Source organism: Homo sapiens, chromosome 11 (assembly GCF_000001405.40).
Source record: "Homo sapiens chromosome 11, GRCh38.p14 Primary Assembly".
Classification (NCBI taxonomy): domain Eukaryota; kingdom Metazoa; phylum Chordata; class Mammalia; order Primates; family Hominidae; genus Homo; species Homo sapiens.
This window is the reverse complement of record NC_000011.10, coordinates 89,863,668-89,890,912: the sequence shown is the minus strand read 5'-3', so window position 1 is coordinate 89,890,912 and position 27,245 is coordinate 89,863,668. Positions and strand designations below refer to the sequence as shown.

At 38.9% G+C, this 27,245-nt stretch overlaps 1 protein-coding gene and 1 pseudogene across 2 annotated transcripts; both read left to right on the top strand.

Annotated features, from left to right (window-relative positions):
- The first annotated feature begins 12,425 nt into the window (after positions 1-12,425).
- On the top strand, positions 12,426-20,475 carry TRIM64B (tripartite motif containing 64B). 2 transcript variants are annotated; one of them, NM_001164397.3, is made up of 7 exons: positions 12,426-12,541; positions 14,892-15,303; positions 15,840-15,935; positions 16,634-16,864; positions 17,623-17,645; positions 18,601-18,698; positions 19,799-20,475. In NM_001164397.3, exons 2-7 carry the CDS (start codon positions 14,896-14,898, stop codon positions 20,290-20,292), a joined length of 1,350 nt encoding a protein of 449 aa, NP_001157869.1. In that variant the 5' UTR covers positions 12,426-12,541; positions 14,892-14,895; the 3' UTR covers positions 20,293-20,475. The 2 variants fall into 2 exon arrangements, with proteins under 2 accessions (NP_001157869.1, XP_011541257.1); XM_011542955.3 differs by lacking the exons at positions 12,426-12,541; positions 14,892-15,303 and adding an exon at positions 15,514-15,589.
- ANKRD33BP8 (ANKRD33B pseudogene 8) lies at positions 25,185-27,064 on the top strand (annotated as a pseudogene).

The window sequence follows — 27,245 nt, the reverse complement described above, 5'->3', positions numbered from 1 at the left end:
GAAATTACTAAAGTCTTACAGGTTTTCAGTCTTTTTATCTGTATCATTTTCACTCTCTTAAGATCTGTGTCCATCGATAGTTTGTTCTTGAGCTAAAGAAAATTGACTGAACCTATCAATTTGATAAGCAGTCCAATTTATAACTTTATTAAATAATATTTCTCAGTATCCCTGTTGATTTTGGTTACATTCAGTTGCCAAAATCAATAGGAATACAGGGGTAAATTTGGTAGCCTTTTAAACAGTTGCATCATATGTTTTTATCAATTATTTTGTGCATTTATTCTTTTATTCAAACAGACAATTAATGAATATCAGTTATATTTTAAGCATTGTGTACTTTCGTGGAATATACCTGTGTGTAGTACAAACACAATCCTTTTCTTGTAATTTGAGAAGCAGAAAAGATGCCTACTATTACACCGTGAGTTTTACAAAGAAAAGTATAAGGCTTTCTGAGTCTTTAAAACAAATAGCCTAATCTAGTCCAGGAGCTAAAGAAAGAATTCCCTGAAGAAATGTTGGAACTTACACTTGATGAAATGGGACTTAGCAGATGTGGAACAGAGAAAAGAAAATTCCAGTTCAGGGGGAAGAAACCTGTGCTCTTGCATTAACCCATCAGTTTGGATAAACACACTCAGGTATTCATATACCTGGGCTGGCTTGGAAATCAAGGGAAAGAAAAGATACAGCATATAAGAGAAGACATGCGCAGTATTCTAAGAGAGAGTAGTAGTTTAATGAAAATCAAAACAAATGTATACCTCCACACTTTTAAAAATGGTACAAAGTTTCATAGAAAAAGATAAAGAATGTCAAGTAGTCAGTAGTTAGCATTCTCAGAAGTTGGTGTTTCTGATACCTTTAGTCACGTTACTGACCTCTCTCTGATTCTGTGAGTGCAAAGCAAAGCAAAACAAAGCAAAGTTGTAAGAGGGTAAGGGAAAGAACCAGAGAGGCTACAGATGAGAAAACTGTTGGCCACATTAACAAAGCTTACCATGCCACATTCATAATCTAGAAACACCCCCATCTGGCCTAGAGGCCTTTCTGTATACTGAGATAATAGTGGGGAAGAGGTCTTGAGATGACACCAGTAGCCTTCTTGACACAAAAAAGTAGAAAAAATTTCTTGGAGTTAACCAGCATGTCATTTCTCATTGTCCAAGAATCATTGCAAAATCCAACAGCCCAGTTCCAGCACTGCCCAACGTCCACCTCTCAGTAATATCTTCCAAAAGTGAATGGCAGGGCTCGCCATCAAGAAAACACTTAGATTTTGTTGGAGTTGGGGCAATGTTGAGATAATCAGAACCAAAGAGTAGCTGTCTCAGAACTTCAAACAAGGGGAATGTACCAAGTGGTTATTTTATTATCCCAGGAAATATGCACTGCAGGAACAAGAAAACAGTCACACGAAAACATAGTGTTATAAACTTCTAATGGATGTGGGCTTTACATAGTGTCTACGTATGCCAGGTTATCCCTGGAAATATGGGTCAGGACAGCAGGCACATAAAAGAAGAAATATATCCTTAGATTTAACCATTGTGCTATTCTTCCTTATCCAGGAGTCCTTACAGACTCCCAGAGCCCAGTCCCAAGAGTTCTCCACATCCAGCTCCCAGTAGTGTTTGCCAGAGGAGAAGACCCAGTCTCCCCATGCAGCAAAATAGTCAGATCTGTCAGAACGCAAAGATTCACGTCTCAACATCAAACTTCTCGCATCCTCAAACAGCCTGATATTGTAATTGGTTACTTCCCAAGTGAAGGAAATTTCCACTGTAGAAAAAAGAGAATGATCCATTGAAAAGCAGTTTATAAATTCTTATGTTCAGATAAGAAAGAGATTCTCACTAGAAAACACAGGTCAAGATTAGAAAGAAACTTCTGTCTGGAAAAATGTTGGAATCAAAGGGTGTTAGGATATCTGCACAAGTAAATGGCTCAACTTCAATGATCACAATTTCCATAAACTCAAAAATTATAAAGGGGAGGAAGGTCATGTCTATGTCTAGTTAGTGACCTTTCATAACAACTGAAAAACTGGCACCTCTTGCACTGCAGCCAAGTCCACAGCAATAAAATTAACCTTCATTGTCTCTTCTCTGTCAGGGCAGAGCAGGAGGCTGCGGACAGGAGATGAGGTGGGGAGCCATCCTTAGACCCAAATAAAAAAGTTATCACTTTGCCAGAAATATTATAATCTGCCACTTAAACTAGTCATTTCATACTTAAAGAGAAAATCTGAATCTGCCTTCTGAAAAGTGCAGCTTCCTTGCAAGAATTATCTGACTTTCATGCCAGATTCAGGCACAGACTTCTTTTATCTGCTGGATTTATCATGATCTATCCTGGAGTTCTATCTAAGGCCTCATCAACCACCAAATCACGTTCCTATTTTTCACAGATTCTCAGTGTTTGCATTGTTATATAAGTTACTCGTGTATGCTTTAGTTGATTAAAATGCACATGATTAAAATTATAAATGCTGTGAAACTTCACCTGAAATGTATTTAAAAAAACACTGTCACTCAAATCAGTCATTAACTGCACTGAATTTGAAATTGAAATGTCCTGGATTAATTCAGTTCTGTATACTTCATGTAATAATTGTATACATGAAATTGTATCACGGTTGAAGCATACATGAATGGTTCTACATCCTAAAGAGCCCTTCTGCATGTTTTACTTTTCTAATACATTTGCTATATGGCTGATTCCACCATCTTTTATTTAGTTTTGTCTGTTTGATGATAGTGAAACTATAAATATAAATACCTATTCACAGACTATTCTCTTCTTCTAGATGAAAGATCGTTACACTGGGAAGGCTGCCCATAGAAAACCATAATTGAAGGCATTGCATGTTGATCCCACCAAGAGGGCCACACTCACCTTGGAAGTGGTTGAGCCTGTCCACCGGTCCTGTGATGCGCCCTGTAGTGAGCTCTGGATTCACAGGCTGGGGCATGTGCAGCAGCACGGACTCACTCCTGCAAGGAAGTAGGTTGAGTTGGTTAAGTTTCTGATGTCTGTGTTTAAGAAATAGATTCCAACAGAAAATGTTTCATTCAAACCCACTTCTGATATTGTAATGTACCTCCACAATCCTAGGATGGGTTTGTGGCTCTTAGGGAATCTTTCTAACTATTCACTCCGTTTCTAACCTACTGCCACTGAAAGATAAATGCCTCTCTCCCTATCTGCCACCAAATAGTTGATCTCTAATTATGATTCTGAATCCTAAAAAGAGGCAATTGTATTCTAGCAACTTGTGCATTGAACTCTTCAAAACATAACCCCCTGAGTCACTTGGAAAAGTAAGAAAAGGTTAATGTCTGATAAAAGGCATAGGTAACATTCAACATAAAACACAAACACATGAGTACACACACAATCACACTGACACATTATGGTGTTAGTAACTTATGTTTTCACTTTGTTGGAAGCAGCTTGATGTTTTTCATAGCATGCCTTGTGCTCCAGCTTGCACTGATGGCCGATAACATACCTTGCCACCATGTCTCCCAAATCCTGTAGCGAGAGAGAGAGAAAAAATTGACTTCTTTAGAAAGTTGTTATTCTTGTTGGGTGAGGTGGCTCACACCTGTAATCCCACCACTTTGGGAGGCCAAGGTGGGTGGATCACCTGAGGTCAGGAGTTCCAGACTAGCCTGGACAACATGGCAAAGAAATTCCATGTCTTAAGAAAACATAATAAAATACATTACTGAAGGAAAGAACCCCATGTATATAGAGGGCCAACTTTTTATTTTTAAAGATGGTAAACTTTATTTTGCCAAACTATTTTTTTCAAACTTATCTTTTTAAATATTAGTATTGCATACAGAAAATGATTTTGTTAAAAATATCACAAAGTAGGAAGGACGTAAATCCAGAAAAAAGGCTTTTAAGTGAGTAAATTTATTTCTATGGAACAAACCTCAACAATTATTTTTCCTTTAGCTTTGATATGTTAGAACTTTTTTCACAGAATGATACTCATTACATGAGCTTGACTCTGAGCACCTCAGATGTGGCCAATAAAGAACTAATGAAAAATGTAAAGTAAGAAAATTATTAATGTTTTTCCAGAAAACAAAACAAAATAAAGCAAAACTGTTACATCCCACTGGGACTCTTAGCCATGTTTTTCAGAAATATTTTGTTTTCTATTATTGCCTACTTCATTGTCTTAACAATATGAAGACCAGGATGTCAAAGGGCATTAAGCATGTGGTGAGTTATATTATGGCCAGTTAACCCAAGGGAGGTCAGATGTGGCTTCAGATTCCACGTAGGCAGCTACCTTTCCTCACCGAGGCAGAGCAAGGTAATCCAGAAAGTCTTTTCAGACTCTGAGAATGCTGTACTTACATTATGAGGAAAATCACTTGAAAAGATGAAATATTAAATAATTTCTACTAAAATCTGGATTATTATTCTGATAAATCAATTTGATTTGTTTAGTGGTTTTTTCCACATTCAGCTTGTTAATTCCACAGAAGAGGGGTCCTGCTTTTCATGTATACGTGTCTTTTCTGCAGGACTTGAGTGTGCACAAATTTTGATATCTATCAGTGTCCTGGAACCAGTCCCCAGAGCTGACTGATTAAGTTCAGTTTTGTTCTGAAATTTTTGTTTTGTGTATAGAAATACATTTTCATGAAGTTATAACTATATTCATTTTATTTCTCATTCCAGTATTATTGAGAATCATGAATAATCAACCAATGTTTCTGTAATGAGCATTTATTGATCCTTAGGGTTACCAGATAGATGTTTTTATAGGTAGGAAAAGAAAAAATGATTCCCTGTTATAATATCACTTTTTCCTTTTTTTTTTTTTTTGTACTGTGGAAAAATATCATAGTTGATTTCTTGCAAGCCAATAGAAAATTTCAAGATATATGTAGTAAATGATAAATGTAATATTCTCTCATACGATGTAATATAATTTTTGCATATCTTTATTTTCAGTATCTTTTTGTTTCTTATTTTAAAATAATGTTTATTTTAGAAACTGTAAAGATCAAGAAAGCCATGGCAGAAAATAAACATCTGCCTAATTCCATCAGAAAAATATAAAATCATGGTTATATTCTTGTGTGTGTAATTCTAGCCCCTTTCCTATTTTAAATGTATTTTTGTTTACATATACACAAAACCCAGTAAATCTCTCTATATGTAAGGTATATAATAAACACATACTTATTTGTTCTTTTTCATATTTTTGATATTTAGAGGTTTTTTAATTCCTAAATCTTGACTATTGCCAAACATTGACTATCCCCAGGTTGATCTTATATGTATTGAAAGGGGTTAGGTCATTGGACAGCCAGAAATGGCTCCATCTTTCTGTCCAGCGATTATCAAATTGTCTGGCTTGGGAGTAAGAGCATGTTTTAAACAGCTCGATTTGTTGGCCAATGGCAGCATATTTTTAACTTACCCATCGCCCCAGCTTATTTTGTTGTTGTTCTTAAGAGACGGGTTCTCACACTGTCTCCCAAGCTGGAGTTCAGTGTGCAGTCTTAGCTCACTGCAGCCTCAAACTCCTGGGCTTGATCAATCTTTCCACCTCAGCCTCTGAAATAGCTAGGACTACAGTTACGTGCCACAATGCCCAGCTCATATTTGTACTTTTATTTGTTGAGACAGGGTGTAACCTATGTTGCCTAGGATGGTCTCAAACTCCTGGCCTCAAGCAATTCTCCCACTTAAGCCTCCCAAATTTATGGAATTACAGTAATGAGCCACCGCTCCTGGCCTTATTTATCACTTCAGAGTTTGTCCTTCCTTTCTAGGTCTATGACATGAAATGTCTTTGCCCGTTCTATAAAACATTCATCTGTCGTGGTCATATGAAGCATTACAAAATTGTTTTTGATATTTCTTCATGTTTTATGTTAAGTACTCCAACATGGTAGTGTGGCTTTTTTAAAAAGGACAAAAAAAAAAAAAAAACACAACAGATGGTTGACTAATCACAAACAGGACTTTAACGATCACAGTAGTGCTATCATTTATTATGATATATTAAAAAATCAGCACTTACTTGTAATGTGCCTTGAGACAAATCATTTAGCAACTTGATTTCTCAGACCTCAGTTTCCTCCTCTGGGAAATACTAATATCAATTGCGTGTAGTCTATCTTGAAGAATTAGAAAAATTGTAAGTAAATACTTTATTACCAAGCATGATTGCTGTGGTTACTTAATCGTTGTTACTGTTGTAGCATCGAACCACTTACCTCTTAGGTTATTTGTTCGAAGTCAAATATTATTAATTAATACATATTTCATAAACTAGTCTTTTCCATTTTATTTATTTATTTATTTTTTAAAGGATGGAGCCTTGCTTTGTATCCCAGCCTGGATTGCAGGGCGTGGCACGATCTCAGCTCACTGTGACCTCTGCCTGCCGGGTTCAAGCAATTCTCCTGCCTCAGCCTCCTGAGCACCTGGGACAACAGACACGTGCCACCATGCCCGGCTAATTTTTTGTATTTTTAGTAGAGACGGGGTTTAACCATGCTTTCCAGGCTAGTCTCGAACTCCTAACCTCGTGATCCGCCAACCTTGGCCTCCCAAAATGCTGGGGTTACAGGCTTGAGCCACTGCGCCTGGCCATACTAGTCTTTAGAGTTGATTGAATGTGGAAGTTTAGTTGACAAGTGGCTGGTTCAAATTGTTAAATTAGAAATATTCAATGTTAGAATTGTAGAGTGCCCTTGTGTTTCTCTTCCATATCATTTGGGCAACTAGTAAACAGTATACTGTTTTATCAACAGGTATGTCATTTATGCTCCAAGCAGCCACAGCAAGTATTCAGGGGAGTCATTTCCAGGAGTTTCTAACGCTCTGTTTGATATTGAAAGGAAAGTGGACCCATGCGAGGCTAAGGGAGAAGTGAAGAGAAAGCTTTGTTGCAACCTTCACTGTGCAGGCAGCTTCAGAGGCTTTGAAACAAGAAGCCTAAGAGGATTCCTTAGAGAACCTATATTGAATTTGTGTGGTATGTCACTCAGAAAGAGTCATGATGGGTATATTGATGTATTTTAAAATTAGTATATTAGAAATAAAGATGGATAGTATATACAGTTATGTGAGTGTTCATATATTTGTCTGTGTATATATTTTTTCTTTTATTTTCTCGTTGTGGATTAAAAATAAAAAATCAAAATTTATAATTATACAAGGTTATTCTGAAGTGGAAGAATCAAAGTCAGTATTAAATCCAAGGGGAATGGACAAATATCGTAAAACTCTCATCTGGCATTTTCGGGGAATCAAGTCTAATGTGTTCATGTCGCTTCACACATGGGAAATCATCAGTTTGTCATAGAGCACACTGCAGAATATGCGCAACTGCTCCAAGCCAGAGGTCTCACGCCCTACCTGGCCTTCCAAGGCTGAGAGGATCACTATCTCAGCGCACTAGTTGGGACACTGATTAAATTACACTTTTAGTATATGTAATCACTCTATAGTATAAGAAATCATTATTTTTTATTAAAATATTTTATTTATGTAAAAGACTATAATATAACACACAAGTATAGAGAAAAATAGTAATGAAATGAACATTTGTGAACCTACTAGCCATGTTAAGAAAATAACATTTCCAATATCATTGGGTTCCCCATGCACTAATGACAGTTGTGCTTTTTCACTTTCTTGAATTTTGTGTTTATCTTTATTTCCTCTGTTACTCTTTATAATTTTATCACACATGGCTATATTATTTACATGTTTTATGGTTTGGCTTTAGGTAGTTTTGAACTTTTTTAAGTAAAATCATACCATGTGTAGTTTTATGGTACTTGATTTTTTTCCACTGGTCCTTAAGTGTTCAGATAGATAGATAGGTAAGTAGATAGATAGATAGATGGATAGCATTTATTCAAATGAAAGGAAGATTCAGGGTCCGTCAAGACAGAGAAAACATATAATAATGTGAATAGGGAAAGTTAATATAAAGAATGATTAATTATAACAACATTTGAGCAAGGAAATATTGTCTAGTAGAATGTAAGGAGAAGTCTAAATAATACGTGATGAGCACATAAAAGGAATTGCCATTGTTTCCAGGGTGAAGTTGGAGTCGCCAGTGAAGAGTCCCCTCACCCCTTGGCCTCACTAAATGTTAAGAAGTTGTTGTGCTGTTGCGCTTGAAAAACTTGCTTTAAATCCACACTTTAGAGCTCCCCAGAAACTTGGCTTCTGGGCCACTTGTAAAGCTGTTTACGAAGAAATGTCACGCCAGACAGGCTCCACTGCAAATTTGGCAAAGGGCAGTGATCAGGAGAAGCTCGTGGCTGCTGAGTTCTCCTGGCCACCATGAACTTCAGGAAGTGGGTGCTATAGCAGCTGCCTGAACTACACAATCTGGGCTTTGGTGTATCCCTGTATGCCCTCCGGGCCAGACACTGGAGGTGTCATTTCCAAAGCAAATTGGAAGCGCTTTTTTGGAATTTCTCTCCAATGCTTTCTACTCACAAAGACTGACATCTTAACACGTGGCAAAGAAAAAAATATTTAAAGGGTCCAGATCTATTTATGTAAACAATCAAGAGTGAGTTTGTAGTGGAAAACCCAAAGTTGGATAAATGGTGCATAATAAAATATATTTGTTCATTTTCTGCTGTTGTACATTTGGAATGATTTTTGTATTTTGATTTTGTGAACATGTCTCCTAATGTAAATAGCCAATAGATTCTCTTTTCGGACAGTATCTTCTGACAGCTGGAATGTCTGGGTTATAAAATTTGTGATCGTCAATTCTACTGGGCACTGCCACAGTGCTTCAAAGTAATTTTATTTATTTATATTTCCACTGACAAGGTAATCATGTTATACAAAATGGTAGAAGTATGGATGATTGTGGCAAGTTAAAGAAATACAAGGAACTCACCCTTACTAGAAACCAAGGCATTTGTGGGAAGAACAATTCATACATTGAGCATCAAATACATCAAGTACGTTTTGGAAGACATCGAGAGGAGTGTAACTACTTTCTTGTAGTTTATCAAAATCCCATAATAAGGTAAAGCAGGTAGGGATATAGGCACATTTCCATTTCAGAAAGCATTCTGGTCTAGATAGAATAGAAGGATATCAACCCAGGAAGAGAACAGAACTAATATTTTGTGTGTGTGTGTGTGTGTGAGACAGGGTCTCACTCTGTCACCCAGACTAGAGTCAGTGGCACAATCCCTGCTCAATGCAAACTCTGCCTCCTGGGCTGAGGCAATCGTCCAGCCTAAGACTTAGCTGAGATTACAGGTGTGCACCCTCATGCCTGTCTAATTTTTGTATTTTTTGTGGAGATGGAGTTTCACCATGTTGCCTAGCCTGGTGTCGAACTTCTCAGCTTGACCGGTCAAGCCACCTAGGCCTCCCAAAGTGCTGGGATTACAGGCATGAGCCACCATGCCAGGCCCCAAAATCTTTTCTCATGACAACTGCTGTCACTTAGACTTTACTATCAGAAAAGATAAGACTACCCGCATCCTTTGGGTTTCAGCTTAGGTGTCATTTCTCTTAGGAAGACTTTTAGGATGACTGTCCCTTCCTTTGTATCAACTGCTAGACCATGAGCTCCTTAAGGACTTAGTCTTGGTTTTTTTTACACTTTTTTTAAACATTTTACTTTAATTTTTGGGATACATGTGCAGAACGTGCAGGTTTGTTACAATTTTGGCTCCAATCTCTACCAGTAAGGAGAGTCCATAGCAGACACTTGTTTTGTGAGTGATCAGAGTAGCGCACATAAGAGACCCTCTGAGACATTCTGTGCTTTGAAAAGAAGAGCTGCGCTGCACACTAGGATTTCCACCAATGCCTTTGTTATGGGGTTTGGCTGAGCATGCTCACAGGCTTTTTGTGATGTCATTGATAGAGAGTTGGACAGTATGGTAGATGTAGGACAGTGTACATATTACTATTCAAAAAAGTGGACCAAAACCTGCACAATACTTGAAAGCTTTGTCAACGTTCAATCAATTCGGCCAGCATGCAAGAAGCATCCCCCCAAAATATTGTATGTAATTTGGTGGCTTAGGAACATACTTTGGCAACATATTTAACGTCACTGAAAGGAAGACAGTTTTCAGAGACAGACTGCCTGGTTTCAAACCCTAGTTCTCCTACTTAATTAGAGTATGCCTATGGGCAAATTATTAAAGCTTCCTGTTCTTACGTTTCTTAATCTTTAAATGAGTATAAAATATTATTTATCTTATGGGGTTGCTGTAACAATTAAGTAAGCTAGAACATGTGAAGCACTTAGAACAGTTTTTAGCATAGAATTGGTAATCAATAAATGTCTGATATTTTCACTTGAATGACAGAGTATTTTTTAGTTAGGTAAGGAAATACTACTTTTTCTCTCTTACCTATCCTGCATGATAACACAGTTGTAGTAAAATAGATAATAACTTTTTCAGCTTCCAGCACTAAAATTTGCAACTATTTTTTATTCTTTTATATGCATCTCATAAGTTGCTTATTGTTTGTTTCTGTCTAATACGGGGCAGTCTACAAAATGTAGAATTGAATTTTTACTGAGAAGTGAGAATACCAGAAAGTCTTTCTTCTCTACACTTAGTAGATAATATGCAACATTTTAAGAAGTGTTTGAATCTGTTTTCAAAGAATAACGTTTGTGGAAAAGTCTGCATATATATATATATCTATGATTACCTTTTCTTATCTTTATTGGATATATTTTTTGAAGCATAATGCTGATCAAATGACACTTCAGAAAACATACTAATTTGCAATGCCATGGACTGATTAAAAAGACAGCCACTTCATCTTTTTCTAGGATATGCTGGCTTTTATGAATTTTATAATTTTTTAAATGTCTATTAATCTGCAAATGGTGACTTTATATAGATTTTTACTTTTTCAACTTCTAGCAAGGTTTGTTAATTTTAAGTTTACAGAAATGACCTAACTCCCCAAACATTAGATAATTTATGAATACAACTATGTATAAACATTGGTGATTTATTAAATCATGGTAAACGACAACAAAATCGGTTAGTATGGCAACCATGTTAAAAATAACTTTCAGGCACCATTAAAGATAATTATGCACATAATTATTGTATAAATAGCAGCCAGGTGCCATGGCTCATGCCTGTAATCCCAGCACTTTGGGAGGCCAAGATGGGCGGATCACCTGAGGTCAGGAGTTCGAGACCAGCCTGGCCAACTTGGTGAAACATTATCTCTACTAAAAATACCAAAATCAGCCGGTCACGGTGGCAGACACCTGTAATCCCAGCTACTCGGGAGGCTGAGGCAGGAGAATCACTTGAACCTGGGAGGCAGAGGTTGCAGTGAGCCGAGATCGTGCCATTGCACTCCAGCCTGGGTGACAGAGGGAGACTGCATGTCAAAAAAAAAGTAACAATAATTATTATTATTGTGTAAATAATTATTATATAATTTTAAAAATATGAATACGTAACATTGTTATAGATAGTTATGTACATATATATGTAAAGTTTCAGTTTTAAAATTATTGAAAAGGGTGGATAAATAAAAAACAGATTTTATTTTCATATAAATCCATCATTAGGAAATAGTCATAAAATAGTAAAAATAAGTTAAACAGGCCGATACAGCTAATTATATCAACCATTATATATACAATTTTGTGAAACACAATTGAGTTCCTTGTTATACTTTTTTAAACAAGAGAGTGACACAGCACAGATATGTTGGTAATCCCAGTTAATGTTTTATCTTTGAACATATTCAGACAAATAACGGCTAGGCACTTAAGCAATTATAATTTTAAAACAGAGTGAGAAACAAAATTTTAAAGTTAGCATGTGGCCCGGTGCAGTGGCTCACGCTTGTAATCCCAGCACTTTGGGAGGCCGAGGTGGGCAGATTACCTGACATCAGGAGTTTGAGACCAGCCTGAGCAACATGGTGAAACCCCGTCTCTACTAAAAATACAAAAATTAGTTGGGGGTAGTGGCGGGCGACTGTAATCCCAGCTACTTGGGAGGCTGAGGCAGGAGAATCGCTTGAACTCCAGAGGCAGAGGTTGCAGTGAGCTGAGACCGAGCCATTGCACTCCAGCCTTGGCGACAGAGCGAGATACCGTCTCAAAAAAAAAAAAAAAAAAAAAAAAAAAAAAATAGCATGTGATAATATGTAGTGAAATAATTGTTATACTTAAAATATTTCTTTGAATAAACAGTGTTAAGTCAACTTTCTTGCATCTCATTCCAAACTTGTCTGTTGAGCTTTGAGCCCTCAAGTCTGGTTTTCAATACTTTATAAACCTAATCAGCCAATTTACCCCTTTCTACGCAATCTAATCAACCTCAGGAAGTGGGTGTGGTCTTTCGTGGGCCCATACACTTTAAAAGGATGCTTGTCCAGAGATTTCTCTCTCCTTCAGTGAGGACCCACTGGATTTGTGGCTGCTGGGCTTTGAAGAGCCAGGAGTGACTTCTAATCTGGATATCTACAGAGTTTCTAGACTGAGACCATTCATAGTAGCCTTGTGAGTATACAGTGTGCAGCAAAACCATCATGCTCACTTTTACTCTTAAACATGCTTTAAATTTACCTGGCAGCATGCTTGGGTCTTTTCTAAGCAAACAAATGACTGTCTTAGTGATTTTACAGAAAATCAATATAAAGTATCTTCAATTTGTAAGATATGGTTTGTGTTCCCTTGCTATTTGACTATGCGACTGTTTTCTGTATTGTTAGATTTTTCTTAAGTGTGAAAAGATATATTTCCATAGTTTCATGCAATGATAGAACCCATAAAATACCTAAAATGTTCACCAGAATGTGGGCATGTAGTAGTGGTTATAACGTAAGCCAAAGCGAACGTTAAAAATGTTGAATTACTTTGAAAATTCTTGTTGCAAAGGTCTTATTTGCTGTCTCTTCAAAATTTGCAATTTGCAGACTAGATCTGAAAGCTGTTGAAAATAGATTTAATCGGCTGGGCATGATGGCTCATGTTTGCAGCCTAGCACTTTGAGAGGCCAAGGCAGGCAGATCGCTTGAGGTCTAGAGTTAGACACCAGCCTGGCCAACATGGTGAAACCTGGTCCCTACTAAAAATCCAAAAAAATCATCCTGGCGTGGTGGTGGGCACCTGTAATACCAGCTACTCAGGAGGCTGCGGCAGGAGAATTGTTTGAACCTGGGAGGTGGAGCTTGCAGTAAGCTGAGATCGTGCCACTGCACTCCAGCCTGCGTAACAGAGTGAGACTGCATCTCAACAACAGCAACAAAAAAAAAAAAAAAAGAAAAAGAAAAAGAAAGAAAGAAAATAGATCAATAGATCTAACCAACTGGCAAGGGCTCCCAAGAAGCTGCAACTTCCAAGTCACTAAGCGAAAGGTGAATTGGCGGCCATGCTTCCATTAACTGCATTTCTGGATTTTCTAGTGTAGAGTGGAAAACCTAATACATATCTTCACTTTTTTTTTGTTATTTTAGAAGATAATTAGTTGTTGATTAATTCTTGTTAATTATAGTTGAAATATTGGCTATTTCAGAATGTGAAAGTGTTCTCTCTAATCATCAGAATTGACAATGGGAAAAAACTTTCCTAATTAAAAATAATAGATATTATTTACATTTAATGTATTGAAAGGAAGAGTTTTGATATTAAAGTTAAAAGGACAAATTTAATGGTTGATAATTTTAGGAGTTGACAGTCCACTGTGATTACTCAATCTTAGATAAAAGCTACTTTATTTATAATTGTCTGAGCAAACTTCATAGGTGAGTTTGGAGGCAGGGAGTATAGAATAATACCATAGATACTAAGTGTCTTTCATATATTATCATCATGGAATTATTGAGAGAGATAGAATGACAGAAACAGGATGACATTCAGAATGTGCTTCTTCGTTAATTAGCTTACATAAGTGACTCAGAAATCATCCCAGCTTTTACCCTCCACCCAGGCTTTAAGCTTGTCTAGGTAACTGGGAATGACTGAGAGCACGGCTTGTTTAACAAAAATGCCATGAGGACTGTTGTCTCATTTTCTCATTTGCATCACGGTTGTTCGTTGTTCATATTCGTAAGTTTCATACCCGTGGATTCAACTAATCTCAGATAAAAAATATTTACAGGGAGAAAAAAGCAGCTGTACTGAATATGTACTTTTTTTTTTTTTTTTTTTGAGACAGAGTCTCACTCCATTACCCATGCTGGAGTGCAGTGGTGCGATCTCGGCTCACTGCAACCTCCGCCTCCTGGGTTCAAGCGATTCTCCTGCCTCAGCCTCCCGAATAGCTGGGACTACAGGCACGTACCACCACGCCCTGCTAATTTTTTGTATTTTTAGTAGAAACGGGGTTTCACCGTGTTAGTCAGGATGGTCTCGATCTCCTGACCTCGTGATCCGCCCGCCTCGGCCTCCCGAAGTGCTGGGATTACAGGCATGAGTACCGCGCCCTGCCAAACATGTACATATTTTTAATCTTCTTGCTGTTCCTAAACAGTATGGCATTACAAGTATTTATACAGCATTTACATTGTATTAGGCATTCAAAGTAATCTAGACATAAAGTATTCAGGAGGATAGGTTTAGGTTACATACAAATTCACACCATTTACTAATAAGAGACTTGAACATCTTAGGATCTTGGTTCTCAGGGAGTCCTTGACCGAATCTTCGATGGCTATTGAGGGAAAACTTTATAAATCCAGCATGTATGAATTTACTATGTCTCAGTTTGTGCTGGAGCTAACTTATTAGACATGCTGGACAGAGCTCAAGTAGACAAGGAAAATTGTCCACCGGCCTTTCTTTCCTTTTCATCGGGGTAAATAAAAATAAGAGAAAGAAATTCTCACTTTTTTTTTTTTTTAATTTCCAGAAACATGGATTCAGACGACCTGCAAGTCTTCCAGAATGAGCTCATTTGCTGCATTTGCGTGAACTACTTCATAGATCCGGTCACCATTGACTGTGGGCACAGCTTTTGCAGGCCCTGCCTCTGCCTCTGCTCAGAAGAAGGCAGAGCACCAATGCGCTGCCCTTCGTGCAGAAAAACCTCAGAGAAGCCCAACTTCAACACCAATCTGGTACTCAAAAAGCTGTCTTCCCTAGCCAGACAGACCAGACCTCAGAACATCAACAGCTCAGACAATATCTGTGTGCTCCATGAGGAGACTAAGGAGCTCTTCTGTGAGGCTGACAAGAGATTGCTCTGTGGGCCCTGCTCTGAGTCACCAGAGCACATGGCTCACAGCCACAGCCCAATAGGATGGGCTGCTGAGGAATGCAGGGTACGTGATGCCTCTAAGGCAGTTTGAATTATACAGAATCCCAAATAAGAATGATGAGGGCCTGTGATAATGATGGTGATGAGAATGCAGATGGTGGAGGTGGTGATTATTCCATGTCAATCATAACACATGAATGTGTCCTTTCAATGTTGCTGGCTAATTTGGCACTCTAATCATAGCTGTGTTGAGACTTCACTAAAGGAGGTCTCCTTAGAAACATTGTTCAAACGTGTAGAATGGAGCTGTGGAGCTGGTGGCCAGCACCAAGAACACTTTTCAAAGTCAGGTTATCTGAAAGCCAGTTTCTCAGAATATTGATGATATTATCTGAAGGGTCCCTTAAAACTCTCTATTATGTTTCTATCACTTTTCACATCCAAATTATTAGAACCAAATGTGTTTAACTTGGAAAAATCTGACCACTTCACTCCAACTTAATTTATGTTTCTTTCAATTACAGCCTTTTTTTTTAAGATAAGGGTATGAAATCTACTATACTGTCTTCATTATTGCTAAGCTTCTTGCTTCTTTTGCAGGAGAAACTTATAAAGGAAATGGACTATTTATGGGAAATCAATCAAGAGACAAGAAACAATCTAAATCAGGAAACTAGCACATTTCATTCGTTAAAGGTAAGAATGAAAATGTTTTCTTTGTTTTTATGCAAATAAACACAATGTTAGCTTATACTTTTTAGCTAAATTCAAACTACCCGTTGCAAGATAGTGATTTCATCCCAAGAAAATGTAGTGATTTCAATTGATGTAATAGGAGTTGCAAACAGAGAAGCCCACACAAGCTAGCCAAATGAATTCTAGTATATTGGATAAACGGCATGATGTGTATTCTAGTTCAAATTTGAAGGTTGGTATAAACCTTTTCAGACACTGCAGATGAGACAACATTTCACTAAGTTTGGGTGTGAGGAAGACGAAAGAAATAGAATAGTATATAGAGTAAAAATATGGTAAAAGTAAAAAAAAACTGCATAATATGGTGTATGGCTAAATGTTTTTTAGCATGCAGGCAAAGCAGACATGGAAAAATCCTAAAAGAGAGATTAGTAGAGGAAACAATTGACTCAGTAACAACTGTGAAGAAGCATCACAGTGACAGAAACCAGGAGTCTTTATATAGGTTTGATTTAAAGAGGGAGAGAGAATAGGAACATTGAAAAAGATGGACAGAAGAAGATAGCAAATATTCAAGACTCCTTGCAAGAGTGAGGCAGAAAGTTTATAAGTTGCTTGATTACACCCAGCATATAATTATTTGAAGTTTTCTATTGAGAGTGAGAACATGTAATCCTTTTAACCAAACATCTCTGCAGGACTATGTGTCAGTAAGGAAGAGGATAATCACTATTCAATATCAAAAGATGCCTATATTTCTCGATGAGGAGGAGCAACGGCATCTGCAGGCACTGGAAAGAGAAGCAGAAGAGCTTTTCCAACAACTACAAGACAGTCAAGTGAGAATGACCCAACATTTAGAAAGGATGAAAGACATGTACAGAGAGCTGTGGGAGACATGCCACATGCCTGACGTGGTGCTGCTCCAGGTGAGGAGGGAGGGTCCATCCTCAGAGACAGGAAGCCTTTGCTGGACAGTGCTGCCAGGACATGCAAATATCACCTGCGTATGTCACTGCTCTAAGCTAAGTGACACATGCTGTCTGACTTCCACCATTACACTTCTCCATTCACGTATTACTGCATACTTTGGTAATCTTTGGGAAATTTTTGCCATTTTAGCAGATAACATATAACAAAGTTCTCTTCAATATAATTTGGAGTACTATCCACACAGAGAGATCATCTAAAATCGTTAGAACTCTAGGCCAGGGGAAGGTTAGTAATACTCCATTTATATGCCCCAGTTCCTCCTCTCTCTGATGTCCCACACAGCAGTGATTTGCTGAAGACATTGAGGGGTTTCCCCTTGCCTGGGCAAGGTTTGTCAAAGCTGCTCATCAATGTCCATGTACTCTGTTTCTCATATGGTTCTCTGTTTTGTTTTAATCGTTGTCATGTGTGGTCAGACCTTTCCTTGGAAGTAAGATTAGGAAATTAATGACACTGGAAACCTAGATATCTTTGCTTTACTCCACTGTCTCTTGCTGAGCTCCTTTCTTCTTAATGCCCACTGATGAAGCTTTTTATTGTTTAGTTGAGGTTCTATTATTAATGTAGTCTTGAATGATTCCTTAGCAGGAAATAAAAAGATATACATTATTAAAACAGAAAGAAACAAGAGTATGAGAAAAGATGCAGAAGGAAAAATCTCTCATAATTAACATTATCTTTCATTTTTTTGCAGGATGTGAGAAATGTATCAGCAAGGTGAGTTTACACTAAAAAAATGCTATTTCTGAAAAGTTTGTTCTCTTGCGAATGAAGGGGATGTATCATTTTGAGTACTAACATCGTTGTCGGTGGCTATTTCCAATTTTGTTTCAAAAGAGGGCCTGAGGTCTTCTTCTCTTTGGTCTGGAAAGTTTTCATCTTAAAATTTGTATGAATTAAAACATACATAAAAACAATTTGCCATTCGGAAGTTTGTTCTTCCCAGTCCATCCGTCCTGACCAACCATACCCCACAGATCTTAATGCAAAATTACTCTGAGGAATCATAGAGGCATCTTCTACTCTAGAGGGGTGGGAGGTTAAAAAAAAAAAAAAAAAAAAGACAGAGGGAGGAGAGAGATTCCCTAAGGATGGGCTGAGGAGGGATGTTTTGCTCCTAAAAGCATCAATGACCCGGGCCTGCTCCATCACCATACACCCAGTTCTAGGAAAGACCTCAGGGAAATGGTTGCCTCGGGCCCCTCAGCAGCAGGGTTCTCAGGCTGGAATTAGACTCCTTTGTTTTGCACAAAAGATTAAAGCCTTTTGCCTCAGTGAACATTCTCTGTTAGACACTGACTAGCATTAGTGACAACTGCAGGCTGAGGTCCCAAAGGTTTTTGTCTGAGTTTTCTGCTCTCTGAAATATTTCCAGGATTTCTGCATACCCTCAAGGGGTGTGATGGGCAGAGGGAGGCAATGACTTTTAATGACTTTAGAAGTTGTATAATGTCTGAGAATAACGTATCTGGGGAAATTGGGTTTTTATGGAAGCAAAGTTTAGAAAAAGTAACATCCTTATTGCCCCTAGAGTGTGGAATAAAATGTACACCCAGTTAACCAAAACTGGCAGAATTGTGAGGAAACATCTTATATGAAAATGTGATATCTTTGTATGACTGTGTGATTAGCTCTGGGCCTGGAAATATAACTGAGGCCATTTTTTTTGCAGGACTGATTTGGCACAGATGCAAAAGCCCCAGCCAGTGAACCCAGAGCTCACTTCATGGTGCATAACTGGAGTCCTAGACATGCTCAACAACTTCAGAGGTAAGAGCCAGCTGCTTGGCATTCCAGCCTCAAATTATTTCCTTATTGGGTCCCTTGGTTGAGGATTTTCCCATTTAAGTTTTATTAGTTTTGACATGTAGGTAATACATAGTTTTCCGAAACATGTGCATCTTCCCTACCTGCATAGTAATATTACAATGATCAAAACTCAATTTCCTGACTTACAGTTTGACGAAAATGTAAAGCAAGATACATACTTTATCTGCAGAATAAGAGGACAAAATATTCAGATCATGTAGTTATGAAGACTCTAGTTCTCATGGCGGCATCAGTATTTCATGTTTATTCAATTTAATTCAATTTTGAAGGCTTAGATTTGGCATAATGGTTTTTAATTGTTTCTATTCTATGTGCATTTACATGCATTCTACAAGTAACCTTTATTATTTACAAAATCAGAACATTTTGATCAACAAAGAAAATGACTAAAATATCCATAATCAGGACAATTCTAATGCCATCAGATACATCTAGTAACAAGTGAAAGGTGAGGGATCTGTGAACACGGCTTAACCATGTTAGGCCCATTCTAGAGAGCAGGTCTGGGTAGCAGAGGGCAGGAACCCAGAGTAGATTGAATCAGGAGCTAAACAGATAATGTAAAGCCAGAATATTCTTTTCAGAAACTTATAAATTTTACATGTGTTAATTTCTACCAAATTTTTGATGTTTGAGACTATAACAGGCATAACTTACATTCCAATAAATACTCACATCACAGCAAATTGATGTCTACCTGTTGATGATCTTAAAAACAAATAATACAAGGAGAGTTTTCTATTGAAGAAAAAAAAACATTTTGCATATGCCCTGAAACCAACTATGCAGATGTAGACATTAAATCATTATTTCCCCTGTGGTATGGTCACGTTTTTTCTCTATTACTTAAGGAATAATACATAATTGTATGTGCTGTAGAGGTGTAATAACATTTCATCTTCATGGATGCATGGGGCTGACCCCTCTTGGCTTCCTTTTTTCTGTATTTTCTTGGAAGAAGAGCAAATGAAGTGAATAATTGGGCCACAGAGCCTCTGTCCCTCATAACACTCACTAATATAATATTTTTTTCTTGTCAGTGGATAGTGCTCTGAGCACGGAAATGATTCCTTGCTATATAAGCCTTTCTGAGGATGTGAGATATGTGATATTTGGAGATGACCATCTCAGTGCTCCCACGGATCCCCAGGGAGTGGACAGCTTTGCTGTGTGGGGAGCGCAAGCATTCACCTCCGGCAAGCATTACTGGGAGGTGGATGTGACCCTCTCCTCCAACTGGATTCTGGGAGTCTGTCGAGATTCCAGGACTGCAGATGCCAATTTCGTTATTGATTCTGATGAAAGATTTTTTTTAATTTCCTCAAAGAGGAGCAATCACTATAGTCTCTCCACCAACTCTCCACCTTTAATTCAGTATGTGCAAAGGCCTCTGGGTCGAGTTGGGGTGTTTCTGGATTATGATAATGGATCTGTGAGTTTTTTTGATGTTTCTAAAGGTTCTCTTATCTATGGTTTTCCTCCTTCCTCCTTCTCTTCCCCTCTGAGGCCTTTCTTTTGCTTTGGTTGTACATGAAAAGTTGGTTTCACGATGATTTATTGTGACCTCCCACATATGAGGCAAATACTGTCCTAAGACACTATGTGCGAGAGCCTGTGAGCTCATTGTAACTTCATGGAATGTAATTACTATGTGGTTATGAATGGGATAACCACCTTGAATGTGTACTTTTGTTAATTAAATTATTTTAATTAATAAGTTATTGTGGAATCTTTACTAGAACATCAATAATGGTTTTTTTGTACTAGTTTTGTTGAGATTCATTCATTTACTGTAAAAGTCATGTTCTAATGTATTTAATTCAGATATTGTTAGTATATCACACTTGAGCAGCCATCAGAGCTCTCTACTACCTGTGAACTTTTATCACTTCCAGAAGAATCCCAATACACATTAACATTAATTCTCCTTTTACCCTCCCCCATTCCTTGACAGCACTTAATCTACTTTTTATGTTTTTGCATTCAGGTAAATAAAATCATACAATGTAAGTTCTTTTTTTAATCTGATTTCTTTTTCAGAGAGTATGTTTTCAGTTTGTACACACTGTAAACCATTTGTCTTAGTCGTATATTTCAACCAGGCTGGGGTAGAATAATGAAGTGGTGGATATCTCATCTTACAAAGAATAAAAAGAGTGCTTTTTTTCTTTTTAAGTCTGAGCAAGTTAGGTTGACCTCACAGACTTTATTATGTCTCAACAACCTAGTTATTAATCACATTTCAGCTCATACAACAGTTTTTCAGTGCTGGGTTGCTCTGCTATTACATCTTCTCTGAATATATTATATCAGGTTATAATATTAAGAAAACTCTTATACTTATTACTACCAGATTGAAAAGTCCAAGGGGGCAATGGCAGTATTTGTCTTCTTTGCTAATATATTACAATTATTCAATGCAATTTTTAGAATAGATTACACAGTAAATAAGATGAGTAAATGGATAAGTAGAGGAGTTAACATGTATAAATACTATTCTAACATTAAGAAACTTTTCCAAAATATAAGTAACAAAATAGGACAGAACATACTAATGAATATCTATCAAAAGATAAGAAATAAATTGATTTTCAGATTCATATCAAAGATAACACTATTATGTTGGGGTTTAAAATAATTGTAGCATAATTTTTACAGGGTTGATTTCAATTGTCTTAGGTTTTTTCATATAAACTATGGAAAGAGGAAGGTTCCTATATAAGATGATGGGGAACAGGAACAGGACTTAGAATAATGGAGGCTGTCCTTATTTAAACTGACATATAATTACTTGCTAAGCATAAAGTGGTATAAACCTTCTTATGCAGTAGAAAGAACAAACTTTGGTTACATTTCAAATAAGAATCCAGATGATAGAGAATGGAAAATTCTATAATAGAATGTAATAGCTACATCTCCTAGCGCACCGGCTTATGTGCTCTAACAAAGACCACGAATTTGAAATGATTCAGAAGGTGCATTTCTCTCACATGTTTGTACCAACATAGGAGTTGGTCAAGAAGAAGACTGACATCTTCAGCAAGTGAATTTTATCTCTGTGTGCAGGAAACTCCCATTTATTGCCATGTCCCATGCAGCAGGAAAGCCGGAAGAAAAGTAGGAGGGACAAGAGTATTTGGCTTTAAGGAAAGCACCTGGTGTTCCTCACAATGCTTTTGTTCCCGTCCTATAGCTACAAAATTAGGCAGATGGGACACCAAGTTGTAATGTATCTGGGAATGCTGTTTACACTCTAAACCATATTTATTCTTATCATTTGATTCAGAAAACAAATTAAATGACTGGCACAACTGAAAATAACCCAAGAGATTTGTTCAATGAAACAAAGCTGAACCTCAACCAAATAGATAAGCTGCTGCCTAAGGTTAGCACCAGTTCTTAGTTATTCAAGAGTGAGTAAACCCTGCTTTTTACCACTGTCGGGGTGTCCAGTGTTGTCCTTTTTAGAGCCTGGCTAGCTGAGGGTTATGTGGCAAGAAACATCTTATTTGTATTTTAGTCCCTTAAATGAATGATTTGGATAGGAATGATTCTCCAAATTTTGAAAATACTTATCAGAAATATTCTCTTATTCCTTCACTCTATACCATGTAGACTATAATAAACTGTCTCTCTTCTGCCTCCACATATTTCATGCAGAACATTAGGGGTTAGCAGAGAGAAAGCTTATCCCCAGCTTCTTTTGGACTCGCTGCTTTTTTCCAAGTGATCTGAGATGATAAAATTACTCACCTTAGGGCTCCAACCCAGCACTCCTTTTGGATTTTCACCTATGTTTTGTGAGCTTTTCTGTTGATGCTAAAACTCTATGCAACAGTCAAAGCCTCATAATTTAATTACATTATTTGTTGCTAGATTTCGAGGAAAAATTATTCCTGACATTCTTCTAATTTAGCTCAGATTCACTTTGGCAGAAAGACAGAATTAGCTACTTTACGATCACTTAGTATTTGACTCTGATTTTGGAAGATGAAACAGTTTTTGTGTCTATTTACCATATTTTCTTAGCCATTTAACCAAGATAATCTTATTGTATTGATTCTCCTAGAGATACTTACTTTATTTATTCTCTTCACCTGTCAGAATTTATGTTAGAATATCACCAAGAATTACTTACAATTGAAATAAATCAAAGAGAGACCACTAAGAACATCGTCAATCATTAATACATAAATCTTGAACTTCCTGAGATTTTTATCCCTAAAGGAAGTTATTTATCAATAGCCTGGTTACAGTTTCTTTAATACAAGAATTTTCACTCTTCTATAATACAAAAAGTAAAAATTGATAAAGAGGATAACTTGGAAAAAAATTAATCTAACAAAACGGAGACACATTCTTGACTAGCACTTTATTTCTGTACTAAATTTAGGAGACATGTAAATGGTAGGTTTCCTAAGTGAAATAAGACAGACACACAGAGAAAAATACTTCATGGTCCCACTCATATTTGAAATCTATTTTTATAAGTTTAATACATTAAAAAAGGTGGTTACATTGGTGGGAAGAAAATAGGTAAATGAAGGGCAAAAGTTGTAAAGGTGCAGTAATGTAGAATAAATGAATCTGATGTACAACCTGTAGGTATAATAGATAATCTTGTATTGTTTTTGGGAAATATTCTGAGGGACTAGATTTTTGATGTTCTTATCATAAAAAAGAAGCAGAGCTAAGTGATATGATCGATTTGTTAATTTTCTTCATTATAGTAATCATTTCCTTATGCACATGTATCTCAAAACAACATATTGTGCACCTTGAAAATATAAAATAAAACAAATTAAAAAATAAAGGTAATTTTGTTCCTGCATGTAAGCTGAAAATAAGTGAAGACTGGGTCAGTAATAACATTGCTTTGCTGGATTAAGAGAATTCTAATAACATATTTTTAATTGGGAAGGTATCTGTATTAAATAAAATTGATCTAAAGCTGGTTACAGTGGCCATACTTATAATCCCAGTGCTTTGGCAAGCCAAGGCAGAAAAATACTGGAGGCCAGGAGTTTGGGATCAGCCTGGGCAATATAGTAAGACCTTATCTCTACCAAAAAATAAACAGAAAATTAGCCTTGAGTGGTGGTGTGCACCTGTTGTCCCAGCTTCTCAGGGGCTGAGTTGGGAGGATTGCTTGAGTCCAGGACTATAAAACTGCAGTGAGTTCTGATTGTGCCATTGCACTCCAGCATGGGTGACAGAGTGAGAACTTGTCTCAAAAACAGCAACTAATTATTTTTTGTAGCCATTTTACCTGAAAGGTATAATTCTTTCTTCTACAATTAATGAATCTGCGTATGTCTAGGCCAGCTAGATCAGGTAGAGCTTGTCCTCTAGTGCTTATATCTATAAAACAAGTAAGACAATTATAAGGAGGCTCTAAGCAAAACAATTTTTTCTCATTCTGGACTTTGAGGTCTTAATTCTTTAGACTAATTTTCTGTCTCAATAGTGGATATCACCCTGAAACTTAATTTGTCCAAGCACCTCACATAACCTGAGATTTTACAAAACATACAGTTCATAGGATCAGTACGTTCTTAAGCCTTAAAAGTCTCCAGGCATTCAAGGATACCACTATGTGGAAACTCAGGCCTTCTACTGCATTATTGAAGGAGCACATTTGAGACTCACAGCTCTGGTTCCAGGAGTCTGTTAACAGGTCTGGACAATGAGTAATGTCAGTCCAGATAATTCTGAGGAAGGCTTTCTGCCTTGTTATGAGGAGGATAATCAGTGGAGACTCTAGACAAGTTCCCAGTCATCATTCCAGCATTTAGTTGCTGTTTTTGTAATCCCAGCATTTTGGGAGGCCGAGGCAGGTGGCTCACTTGAGGTCAAGAGTTCAAGACTGGCCTGTTCAACATGGTAAAACTTTGTCTTTACTTAAAATACACAATTAGCAGGGGGCGGGGGGTGGGGAATATGCATTAGAAGGGAAGGAGAACATACTTAACATGCCATTGGAAGGTGAAATTCCTAATACTTGAGAATATTTTTGAGAACTATGTTTAATTCTCACTATAGAAAGATGTACCCTTTGAATGACATTAAAAATTCGCTAGAAGAGTGAAGAATAATAGTTAAAATGTCACATAAGTAACAAGAGTCTCAAAACATAAAGTGTTCTAAAAGGTTAAAGTACGTATTTGAGATAGAGAGAATAAATAATAGTTAATTACTTAGACTTTATTATGTGAAAAGACTTTCCTAAAATTCTTCCCTAATAATTGAAGATATAAATTACAATAATTAAAATACACAAAAAATAAAAGTATTAAAATAGTGACAAATTTTTAAAAGGGTAAACTTGAAAATTATTTAATTTTTAATCTCAAAAATCTGAAAGTGATTTTATCAATGTCCTAAAAAATTGAAATAAAAACAAACTTAATAATGTAAAAGAAGGGAGGTTTCCACCGGGCTGGGGGCGGGAGCTAGGGCTTCCCTGGGGACGCAGAAGCAAGAAGCAGGGACCTTGGCGCGCACCAGGCTTTCCGGGACAGAGCCTCGGCCTCCCGCCCACGCCTCCGGCCGCCGGCGTGGTGCTGCTGGCTGGGACCCAGCCGCAGGGTGGCGGGGCGCGCTGCATGACCCCGCCACCGCCGTCCCCACTCCTAGGCACACAGGTCGAGGAGGACCGCGCTGACTACAAAGAGTTCCAGGACTTCTCCAGTCTGCCCGACACCCGCAGCATCGCCTGGGACGACTCTTTCTACCCTTTCCAGGAGGAGGAGGAGCACGGCGTCGAGGGCGTGGAGAGCGTCCTGGAGGAGGGCGTCCTGGAGGAGGGCGTCCTGGAGGCGTGGGGCTGCTGCAGACGTTGGTGCGGCGGGGGGTGAGCGTTGAGAAGGCTCAGGAGACTGACCACAATGGCCAGAGCGGCCTTAATGTCGCCTGCTACCACGGCTTTGTGGATATACCGTGGTGGCCTTAGCTGAGTGCCCCCACATTGAAGTCAACTGGCAGGACAGGGAGGGGAACGCAACCCTAATCATAGCTGCACAGGCAGGAGCTGCCCCTGGCCCCATGGGCACAGTTGCCTTAGACGCTGGCTCTCAGCCTTGCGCTTCCTGCGTCAGCATCACCTGGGCTGGTTCATTTGAGCTTTAACACAGATCTGGTGGAAACACAGGCTGCCAAGCCCTGCCCTGGAGTCTTTCTTTGAATAGGCCTGGGGTGGGGCCCAAGAATGAGCAGAAGAACAGGTTTCCTGGTGAGGCTGATGCCGCTGGCCCAGGGATCCCACGTTGAGGAAGGAGGGCTTTGAGGTTTTCATGCCTGATGATGGCCAGGAACCCTTCTCAGTAGGCATTGAAGACCAGCAGAGTCCCAGACCCCAGGAGAGATGTCGTCAGACGGACACAGAGGCATCACGGAATTAAAGTGAAAATGAAGAAAGGAGCTGAGCATCTGTTTCATGACTTTCCTGCGCTGTTTTACTAAAGAGGCTGTTCTGGCCCAGTCAGGGCACGCTATCATCACCAACTGCTTGCTGAACTATGTCCTGGGTCTTGACCTTGAAGGATGGACGCGTTCGGGTTGAAAGCCGCCATGCAGGGTCGAACCGATCGCATCCGAGCCCTGAGCTAGCAGGGGCGGGTGTCCACGCGAGGGCCCCCGCCGTGGGAGGTCGCCAGAGGAGTGGCCACTTACACGTCCGTCTCATGCAGAGGCTCCTGGAGCGCCCCTGCCAGGAGCGGCTGGGGAAAAAGTACCAGCTTGAGCTGCCTCCGCTCCACGAGAGGGTGCGGAAGCCCGAGGGCTCGAAGAACTGCCTGCAGAGGGTCAGGGACTGCGAGCTGTCCACGCTGACGCCGCGCTCCGTGCGTGGCCCGGAGGACCGGGGCGCCCTGGACCACATGGTCAGGATGACCACCAGCCTCTAACAGCCCCGCCGTGGCCCTCGCGTGCCAGACCGTGTGCCCCCAGAGCTCCCTGTGCGTGGGGAAGAGGCGGCTGGCGGTGCAGGAAATCCTGGCGGCTCAGGAAATTCTGGCGGCGCGGCTGGGGGTGGGGAGGCAGGCGCAGGAGGCGGGCGAAGCGGAGAGCGCAGAGCAGCACAAGCCGCCCTGCCCAGAGGCCGCGGGCTCCCGGGAGGGCTCCCTAAGAGCCGGCCTCCCACCTGCCCCGCTGCCAGGGTCCTGGGGCTCTGGCGACCCCGCCCCGCGGAAGGCCAGCCTCCTGCCCCTGCAGCGCCTGCAGCGGAGCAGCTTGCGGCCCGGCGTGGTGGTGCCCCGGGTCCGCCTCAGCAAGGCGCCCGTGCCCACCTTCCAGCCCCAGAGGCCGGCTGTTCAAATATTTTCCCAAGTTTATATTGGGTTCATTTTCTTTTGTTTATTACATTCATTAATCACATGTATTGTATTTTATTGCATATATGTTGGGATAAATATGTTTCTCCACTCTTGGTTTGCATTTTAATTCTTGGATGGTGTATTTTGAAACACAGAAGTCATCATTTTTGATACA